The 9,971-nt window shown below is 52.0% G+C and overlaps 1 protein-coding gene and 1 non-coding gene across 2 annotated transcripts, besides 1 other annotated feature; one reads left to right on the forward strand and one right to left on the reverse strand.

Moving 5' to 3' along the window:
* Nucleotides 476-9,971, reverse strand: PRKAG3 (protein kinase AMP-activated non-catalytic subunit gamma 3). The gene is made up of 14 exons (NM_017431.4): nucleotides 9,906-9,971; nucleotides 9,504-9,543; nucleotides 8,914-9,069; nucleotides 8,146-8,549; nucleotides 6,687-6,768; nucleotides 6,172-6,230; nucleotides 6,001-6,046; nucleotides 5,743-5,797; nucleotides 5,415-5,541; nucleotides 5,096-5,261; nucleotides 2,707-2,744; nucleotides 2,390-2,536; nucleotides 1,814-2,046; nucleotides 476-1,244 (listed from the first exon to the last, which is right to left on the reverse strand). Exons 1-13 carry the CDS (start codon nucleotides 9,936-9,938, stop codon nucleotides 1,930-1,932), a joined length of 1,470 nt encoding a protein of 489 aa, NP_059127.2. The 5' UTR covers nucleotides 9,939-9,971; the 3' UTR covers nucleotides 476-1,244; nucleotides 1,814-1,929.
* Nucleotides 1,030-2,229: an enhancer, noted in NCBI's record as "CDK7 strongly-dependent group 2 enhancer chr2:219687585-219688784 (GRCh37/hg19 assembly coordinates)". NCBI's record gives its function as "activates an origin of replication core promoter dependent on BRD2, BRD4, P300/CBP, MED14 and CDK7 cofactors, with strong dependence on CDK7, by STARR-seq in HCT116 cells {active_cell/tissue: HCT116}" and the evidence as "EXISTENCE:reporter gene assay evidence [ECO:0000049][PMID:35650434]".
* On the forward strand, nucleotides 1,258-1,322 carry MIR9500 (microRNA 9500). Its single transcript, NR_128707.1, has one exon. It is a non-coding gene; the product is annotated as a microRNA 9500 (primary transcript).

The following is a 9,971-nucleotide window of genomic DNA, read 5'->3' on the forward strand; positions in this document are numbered from 1 at the left end:
GAAAACAGCAAGCCACAGAGCGGAACAAGGGACTGGGCTGTCTATCTTAGCAGTTGGCCTGGAACAGAATTACTGAGCTTCCTGAAGCCAGAGGGTGTGCAGGGCCAGGAGCTAGAATCTTCCACATGCTCCAAGCCACAGGTCCCCAAATAGGCTTTGTGGAAGTGAAGGAGCCCCTGGCAGACCTTGCATGACCAACTGATGACCAGATGGGGAGGGGATGTCCAGGCAGGTGCGAGCATGGACGGATGATGATAGCCGAGGAACAGAGTCTTACATGACTTAAAGCCACACCCCCACCCGACCGAGCTTAACCCCAGGAAAAGGTCAGGGGGAGACTTTGAATTGACTGAGATTAATTTCTACCACCTGCTGAAACGGGGTTCCTAATAGAAATTACATTCTGTGTTAGAAAAATAAAGTTATGCTTCTTGCAGATTAGAGTTTGTAGGCTGAGTTGTACCTACTATATAAGTAATGAATTAATTTTTTCTTTATGATTTTGTAAAGAAAAGAGAAGAAAGAAATTTCAGTAGAATAGCGCTACATTGCAAGAGAAACGGCACTTGTGATTTTTATCCATTTTCCTTCTAGTCTTTGAATTTAGAAAGCACAAGTCTCTTGCCACAAGTTCAGGTCAAATGACTGCAGCATTTTGAGTGAAACCAATAAAATCTAAGTTCATGGATTGTTCCTTTTGTTTTGTTTTCTCAATTGCTCATTCTCAGGGGTCCATATACAAGGCCATCCATCCCTGGAGACTAAGAACATGGCTCACTGCGAGAGCTAAGGAGTTTTCTGGACAAGAATGGAGGGAGGACTCCCCACCTCCAACAGGCAGTTCTATAAATAACGGCTGCTCCATGGTGGCCCCTGAAATGCAGCATTTCAGCAGCCTTGAAATGACAAAGCCTGGAGAGTAGGAGGGCAGTGGCGACGTTGCTGGGAACAACAGCTGGGACTCCCAGGAGCTGAAGGCTGAAGCCATAGGTAGCCCAGAAACCGAGGAATCCAGAAGCCCTGACTAAACCCACTGGGGCCATCCGACCCAGTCAGGCGGCAAGGGGATGGGCGGGCATGGAGCACAGATGGCCCTGGGGTAATCCTAGTGCCTCTGGTTCAGGGACCTCCAAGCTTGACTCAGCTGTTCTCCTTAATTTCATCATCCCATGGTGCACTGGGCATGCCCGAGGGCTTCTGGGAGCACAGGTAGGGCAAGGGCAATTTGGGAGGGCTGAAGAAGCCTGTGGGGAAAAGAAAAGGGAAGATGGTGACCACATAGGAGGGACAGCGGCCTTTCCAACAGGGGACCCTTGCCAGCCATGGTGAGTAGATGGAATCTGTGCCCATCCTCTGCAAGCCCCTAGCAAACGTGTGACCAGGAAAGAGTCTGAGATCATGTCACATTTCCTGAGATGAGCACGTAGGTAGAAGCTCCTTCCTTTAAGCTTTAGTTCTTACTGGGGATGGAAATTCCATCCAACAAATGTTGATATAGCTTGCTTCCTTCTAAGGGGATTTCCAGCAGGTGGAAATTGAATTGTGAGGGAACAAGTAAATCTTCCCAGAGTGTCTGAAGTCACATCGCAGCCTTAGCTTTTAGCCGGGGCTTTGTCCCTCCCTTCTAGGACAGTCTCCATGACCTCAGCTGAAAATGGGACAAAGTGGGGACCTGTGAGTCCTTACACTTGCAGTTTTCACAGGGCTGCTCAGCTTTGAGCTTGGCCACTCCCATCCTCAGGGTGTCCCAATCTGAGATCCAGGAAATCAGGAAGACTAAGAGGCTGGTGTCATGGCCCAGGGCAGAGCCTACCTGAATCATAGCTGAACCAGCAAATGGGGGTGGGGGAAGATGAAGGCTGAGTTCTCCAGTTCCCTTCATTGGCTTCCAGGTGTGCAGGTGGCTTGGGATTGAGGACTCAGATCTTCTCAGGCCCCGAGGGCATCGATGCCAGCAGGGCTGAGCACCAGTGCCTGAAGGATGTCGGAGAGGGAGACCACGCCCAAGAGATGCTGGGTCTCGTCCACTAGCACCAGCCTGTGTACCTGTGGGTCCGCAATGTTCAGTGAGGGGGCAGAGCCATGGGGCTACAGCAGCTACTGAGGTTGGTGCCAAGAATCAGGGGAAACAACCCAACATGACTGAGGGAGAGAGCGTCTCCTAGAAACCAGTTAGGGATGGTGTGACCGGCCTAAGGTGATCAGTTGGCAGTGACCCCTGGCATAAGGGCCCCATGGACAGGACCAGGTGCAGGCCAGTGTGGGCACCAGGAGTTGGTCATGAAATGGAAGGATAGGCCAGGTGCCCGATGTTCAGGGATGGCTGGAGCCGTGCATGAGAAGGACTGGGCTATATGTGTTGGGGGCATGAATGGAGGGCACACGGTACCTGCTCCCGAGCAATCCTGTCGATCACTTCCCCCAAGCTCTCGTGGGGCTGGCAGGAAAGGACTCCCTCCAGACATAGTGTCCTCTGCCTCAGGGCTTCTCCCACACTCATGTCCAGGTGGTTGTAGGTTTGCTGGGCAGCCAGGTGCTGGGGCAGAGAGAGAAGTATGGCTCCTAGTCACCCCCTTGCCTGGGCTCCTACCCTACAGATGTCAACCCCTGCATACTTGTCAAGGTCCCCCTGGTCCACAGAGGCCCCCCACCCATCCCCACACCCTTAGCCTCCCTGCAGCATCCCACCTTTCCAGCGACACTTACAATCACATCAAAGCGGGAATAGAGGCCCACGACCTGACCTGCAGAGGGTGGTTGTGGGGGGTGGGGGGAGAAAGACAGGGAAGAGGCTCCGGTCAGAACCGGGGTGCTGTGTAGAGGGCCTAGGGCTATTTGCATCAGGGTGCCACTACCAGAACCCAAGGATCAAACTTAGCATCCCAGAGTGAGACAGCCTGACATTGAGCATCCTGAGGAAATGCAGTGTGAGTAACATGGCACCACCTACAAAATAGTCTAGCCTCGAATTTATTGCCCAAATCTCTTCAAGCCTTTAGATATAATTTCAGTTTACAGGAAACCCAGGAATAGAGAACAAAGTAAAGGCCAGCTCTAGAAAGCAAACAGACAAATCTGGATGTGGGGTATCCTATAGGACAACTGACCCAGGCTTTTCAACTCACCCACGTCATAACAATTTAGGGGGAATGGAGCTGTTATAGATTTAAAGAGATTTAAGGAACAAAAGACACGAATGTAAACCATGGACTTCAATTGGATCCTGTTTTGAACACATCAACTATGAAAAATACATTCCCTTGGGAGGCCGAGGTGGGTGGATCACAAGGTCAGGAGTTCAAAACCAGCCTGGCCAACATAGTGAAACCCCATCTCTACTAAAGATACAAAAAATTAGCCAGGTGTGATGGCACGCACCTGTAAACCCAGCTATTTGGGCGGCTGAGGCAGGAGAATTGCTTGAATCTGGGAGGTGGAGGTTGCAGTGAGCCAAGATTGCACCATTGCATTCTAGCCCAGGCGACAGAGCAAGACTCTGTCTCAAAAAAAAAAAAAAAAAAAATTCTTGGCCGGTCGCGGTGGCTCATGCCTGTAATCCCAACACTTTGGGAGGCCAAGACAGGTGGATCACTTGAGGTCAGGAGTTGGAGACTGGCCTGGCCTATATGGTGAAACCTCATCTCTACTAAAAATACCCCCCAAAAATTAGCTGGGCGTGGTGTCATTTGCCTGTAATCCCAGCTACTCAGGAGGCTGAGGCACAAGAATCACTTGAACTCGGGAGGCAGAGGTTGCAGTGAGCCGAGATGGCACCACTGCACTTTAGCCTGAGTGACAGAGGGAGACTCCATCCCAAAACAACACCCAAAATACCCAACATTCTTGAGGAAATGGAGAAGTGAGAATAAGGATTGGATGTCAGACAATAATATGAATTATTCATGGTTTTGTTTGGTGGTATAAAATGCACTTTTTTTTTTTTTTTTTGGAGTCTCGCTCTGTTGCCAGGCTGGAGTACAGTGGCGCGATCTTGGCTCACTGCAACCTCTGCCTCCCAGGTTCAACCGATTCTCCTACCTCAGCCTCCTAAGTAGCTGGGACTAGAGGTGTGCGCCACCATGCCCAGCTAATTTTTTTTTGTAGTTTTAGTAGAGATGGGGTTTCATCATATTGGCCAGGATAGTCTCGATCTCTTGACCTCGTGATCCGCCCACCTTGGCCTCCCAAAGTGCTGGGATTACAGGCATGAGCCACCGCCCCTGGCCAAAAATACACTTGTTTTAAGAAGTGCAGACTAAAGTGTTTAGGGGTGAAATGACATGATGTCTGTAATTTACTTTGAATTACTTCAGAGAAAAAGATGAACTGGTTATGGCAATATAGTAACAGTAGTTAATCTAGGCAATGGATATAGGTGGTTCATTATGCAATTTCTTTCTACCATTTCTATACATTTGAAGTTTTTTATAATCAAAAATAAATTGAAAACACTTCTTGATATCTATCTTAATTATGGTGATTTTAGCTTTGAAATATTTCATAGCCATCATTCAACCAAAGAAATAATCTTGTCATTTCTGCAGCCCTTTTTCAGTGTAGGAAATTGAGGGCTGGCTGGGGGCCCGAGGTCCCATGGCACATTTAATTTTTTAAATTTTATTATTTCGTTATTATTATTTTAGAGACAGGGTCTTGCTCTGTTGCCCAGGTTGGAGTGTCACTGTATGTAAACTCAAACTCCTGGCCTCAAGCGACCTTCTCGCTCTGGCCTCTCTCAAAGGGCTGGCATTACAGCCATGCACCACGTGTCCGGCTCCATTTTAAGATGAACTGAAACTAAAATCTGCTGCTTCCTCTCGCTATGCCCATTTTCATGCACATAACCTTTTAAATCCTCCTGTGAAGTCAGAAAGATGAGTGTTGTGAAGAATCCCATTTCACAAAGGAGGAAACTGAGGCACAGAGAGGCTAAGCAACTTGCCCAAGTCTCAGAGTAGACGGAGACTTCTAATCCCCAGTCCATCCTGTACCCCCCACAGGGATGGCATGAGAAACCCTGCCCTTCCCATATTCTCCCCACCAGGTTCTCCCAGGCCCCAGCCCAGCCCGAGCCTCTCATCCTGGGGGTGGGTACCACATTCGTTGACCACAGGCAGTGCAGACACACGCCGGTCCACAAAGATGTCCAGTGCAGTCAGGATGGGTGCTGTCTCCAGCACCACAGCCAAGTCTCGGAATGTGCCGATGCCCAAATCTTGGATAGTGCGGTAGAGGAAGGAGGGCCGGGGCAGCAGGGAACCCTGGTTAGGATGGGGACCAGGTGGAGATCAGGGATCCAGCAGCTTCAAGAGGGCTCCCAGCTCTTCCCCACGACTGCTAGGGCTGAAGACTCCTCAGGCCCTCTGATCACCTGCCCAGGTCTCCCCCTTCCTCCCACCTGGGCCCAGGCTTACAAAGATGTGCAGGAACTTGAGCAGGCGTTTGTGTGTGAGGATGTGGAGTACGTTGCCTGACACCGGGTCAAGAACAGGCAGGCGATGGATCCGGTTCTTGATGAGGGTGTAGACAGCTTCAAACAGGCTGCAGAGATGGGAGCAGTGAGCCTCGGGGCAGCCTAGGGAGAGACAACCTCCATCCCAGGCCCCTAAAAAGGAGGGCAGGGCACCAAGGCTCCCTTGTCTGTGTGCCGCCTAGGATGAAGAGGTGAGTTCAGAGCTGAGTGGGACTGGGGAAGGGGACTGTGGGAGGAGGAGGCTCAGGTGAATGAGCAGAGACACCCACCTATCATTAGGAGAGATGGAGACCAGAGGCTTGAAGCAGCCTTGCAGGTAGATCTCTGCAGAAAGAGCCAGAGTCAGGCCAGGGGAGCCGGTCACCTGCCTCACCTTGCAGTCCCAGGCAGCTTCCCTTCCGTCAGGCACCCGAGGCTCCTATTGTCCCTCCCCTGTTCACTCCAGGACATCCCCACTGCCCATCCTCCACCTTAAGCCCTGGCCCACCATCACCAACAGCCCTTTCCGGGTTCCTCTCCCCACTCACCCCTCCAGGTCTCAATCTTATGTTGTTCAATCTCATAGATCTGGACCTAGAGACATCGACAGGACTCCAGAAGTCAGAAAGACGTGGGCTTCTAGGGCACCAGGCTCCAGGAGGACTCCCCTCCGCCCCCGCCCCTCTGGGTGCCCATAAGATTCCCAGCCCACTCCTCACCAGGGGGGACCTGTAGTAGCGATGCAGCACCAGGATGAAGTCAGTGATGGTCAGCATCCCTGCAGGGAGGGGCGGGGAGGAGGTCAGCCCGGGGCCTTTGGGTGGAAGGCAGGTTGAGGGTCAGATCCCCTCCCCACCCTGCCAGTGTCCTTGTGCTGAGACACAGTGGGGACTGTGGGAACAGGACAGTGGGGCAGCCCCCCAGGCCTGAGAAGTGGGGCTCTTTCTCTCCTGCCTCCCCCCATTTGCTCCCTAGCACCTATGGCACAGGGCCATGCAGTAGCGGAGGTGAAAGGTGTCAGCTGGTCATAGCGGCTCCACAGATGGGGAAATTGAGCCCCAGGGTCTCCCAGCTGGCCATGCAGACTCCGGATGGACTTTCCTCCACCCTGGCCCCTGGCTGGGCTTGGCCTGAAGCCAAGCTTGTGGTATATCAGAGATCAGCCCCAGAACAACCGTACAAGATCTCCCCCTCACCTCCTCCATCTCCCTTCACCTCCCCAGCCTCTCCTCACCCACAAAGCTCTGCTTCTTGCTGTCCCATAGAGGGGCTGCCCGCACACCGTTGGCCACCAGAGCAAAGAAGGCCTTCTTGATCTGAGGGGCCAGGGAGAACAGTCAAGGGTGGGTCCCGAGAGACCCTCACCCCCCTCTCTGCCCCTCAGTGCGCACCTCCCATCTGCCTGCTGTCCCCTCCCTGTCCCACCCAGGGTTCTTCCATGGGGCCTTCTCCTGGACCCTCCTCTACACCAGCTGGCCTGTCTTCCTCATGTCACAGTACACGCTAGACATGATCGTTGCTGGGGACATGTACATAGATAAGGCTGTGGCCTGAGACCATGAGCCCCTCACCTGGCACACCAGGGAGTGAGAAATTCTAAGTTCATGTTTCCATTTGGAGGGTATGTGTGTACAGACACAGTCTAGTTTTTGATAGACTAAGTACCGGAGGCATAGTTATTTACATAACACTTGCATATTTACATACTTTTTTTGTAGATAAATTTTATATTGACTCATTTTGTGCCCCGTCCTAAGCAGTACTATCTGCACATGCTGGTTATATTTTTTTAACACAGCCTAAAACAAATATAAAGCTACTGAAATAGACATATTTTTTCACGAACCATTAGAATCAAAATGCATGCTATGGACAATACATACACCGTGTTTTGGGAAACACTGCACTGCATAACAATGATAAGAATAAGATTATAGACATTTATAGCTAAGCCTAATGGAAGAGCAGGTGCCAGAGCTCATTATTTTTTCTGTTACCAAGAGAGTCCCCTACTCTTTTTTCTAAGTCACTCTGTGATGCCTTTTTTTTTTTTTGACATGGAATTTCGCACTGTCTCCCGGGCTGGAGTGCAGTGGCACGATCTCGGCTCACTGCAACCTCTGCCTCCTGGGTTCAAGTGATTCGCCTACCTCAGCCTCCAAAGTAGCTGGGATTACAGGCGCCCACCACCACGGCCGGCTAATTTTTTGTATTTTTTTTTTTAGTAGAGATGGGGTTTCACCATGTTGGTCAGGCCGGTCTCGAACTCCTGACCTTGTGATTTGCCCACCTCGACCTCCTAAAGTGCTGGGATTACAGACATGAGCCACCGTGCCCGGCCTCTGCAATGTCTTACACATACTTTGTTCACGCTTTATACTGGGTAGTCCAAGAATCCTCTGAACTATGTAGGGTGCAGCAGGCATTTCGATCCCCATTTTAGAGACAAGAAAGGTAATGTAACTCAAGGTCCTACAGCTACTAAGTGGCAGAGCTGTGATGACAATTACGTGTGCTAACAGAGAGTAGAAGCTGTCCCTCCCCCAACTGGCCTCCATAGTGCTAAGAAGGAGTCCTTTCAGGGGGCTTGCAGGGGCACCTGGCTCAGCAGGGCATCCTGCAGGGTGGGAGTGGCGGCTGCAGCACCGTGTGGATGGAGAGTGAGTACAGGTTGGGCAGAGCCGTGGCCTCACCTCCAGCATGGTGTCGAAGATGACTAGCTTGGAGCTAGTTGCCATGGCATCGTAGCAGGTGTGCTCCTGCATGAAGCGCATGTAGATCTGGGCGCCGGGTTTCCGCAGTTCGTCATCCCAGCCCAGCTTGGGAAATGGGGCCTGCGGGGACAGGCACAGGGCAGGCCTCTCTTCCAGCAGGCCTTCTAGCTCACACTCCCAGGCCTCTGTGGCTGGGAACTCCGTGGCCAGCTCCACATCATCTGTGCTGGAGCCTGCAGCTGAGGCTGTACAGTCAGAGGGGAGGCAGTCCCACCCTGTTGGTGGAGTGCCCACCCCGGCAGGATCAGCTTGAGCCAAGGGTGTGGTCTTGGGGAATGTGGCCTCCAGCCCGGTGGACTCAGCAGCTGGCCTGGACCGGGGACCTGTTTGGGGGAGGAGGGGAAGAGGACAGTAACTCCATCTTCCAAAGCACGTTCTCATCTGCTGTCGCCATTCATCTCACAGCAGCAGTGGGAAGCCTGGATGCTGTGGCCCTATTTGCAGGTGAGGGGCTGACCTGAGAGTCGCCCCAGGTAGTGGCTCTGTCCCATCTTTCTGAGTTGGCCATGCTGGCCTCTGGCACTGCAGTGCCTTGTTCTCTACTATGTAGGGAGACTGAGGCCACAAGATGAAGGTTGGGTCCAACTCTGTGTTATGGAGGGACCTGAGGTAGAGACCAGACCCAGGCTCCTCTGGGATTTCCCACTCCCCTGGCTCCCACCTCCCCAGAACTGGCCTTGGCCTCACCTTCCCCCTGACCTGGTGGCTCCCCTTCCTCCACCGACTTCTGCCTTGTCCATCTCAAGGCTTTGGCCCTCCGTTTCCCACGGATTCTTTCTGAGCTGCTGGTCACAGCTGGTGATGGCCATGAGCTGCTGTTTTCTTGCTCTAGGAAGCTCATCTCTGGAAGGGGAATGGGGCCTGTTTGGTTAATAGGGAGTAATGCATCAAAATCAATTCAAATGTTATTCATAATCTTTAGGATTTGCAAGCTTCCAATGGGCTTTTCTCCAACATATTTCTCATTTAAAACTTACAGCAGCCTTATAAAGCAGGCATTATTATCATCCCTATTTTGCTAGTGAGGGACCAGAAATTCAGAGAGGTTAAGCAATTTGCTGCAAATCACACAGCAAGTAAGTGGGAAAGTCACTTCTGAAAAGAGGAAATTGGAGGTGAGGGAAACACACCTGGGGAAAGGAGGAAGAACAATGAGGAAGAAAGACCAAAAGGAGGAAGATAAAAGCCAGGCTGGGAGGGAATTGGGGTCCCAGAAAAGTGGGGGACAAGGAGGTGGGGGAAGAGGTTAGGCCCCAGGGAGGGGGCATTCTCCCTACCTTGATGCTCAGAACCCCCAAGGCTGCTCCAGGAAGGGGTCTGTGGGGAGAAGAGTTTCTGAAGGAGTGGGGAAAGTGCCTTACATTCCCAAACCCCTTCTCCCTGAACACACGCCTACACACCCATGCACACCAATACACACGCTCAGACACACGCCATACACAGACATGCAGCCATACACAAACACACACAGAAACACACACATCCAAACACTCCCAGGCACACAGAACCACACACACTCACAATACATATGCCCAAACATGCACATGCCCATATTCACGAGAAAATCCAGACCAAACACACACCAGAAGACACACACGCCCACACACACATTCACAGCCCGTGCGCTCAATCTTCTGGCCTCAGCTGCCCCGGCTCCGGCTCCCCTGGGACCCCCATACCCTGCGCAGTGCGTGCTCCAGCCCGGGCTCCATGTGGCCAGCCCCAGACCAACTGAGAGCAAGTGT

This window comes from Homo sapiens, chromosome 2 (genome assembly GCF_000001405.40).
Source record: "Homo sapiens chromosome 2, GRCh38.p14 Primary Assembly".
In the NCBI taxonomy this organism is placed as follows: domain Eukaryota; kingdom Metazoa; phylum Chordata; class Mammalia; order Primates; family Hominidae; genus Homo; species Homo sapiens.

Coding starts and splice junctions, on each gene's coding strand:
- PRKAG3 (NM_017431.4), bottom strand. CDS start 9,938: ATGGAGCCCGGGCTGGAGCACGCACTGCGCAGG. Junction 5,542..5,742: donor TCCATCTCTCCTAATGATAG/GTGGGTGTCTCT, acceptor CCATCTCTGCAG/CCTGTTTGAAGCTGTCTACA. Junction 2,745..5,095: donor GCCTGTGGTCAACGAATGTG/GTACCCACCCCC, acceptor CACCCTCTGCAG/GTCAGGTCGTGGGCCTCTAT.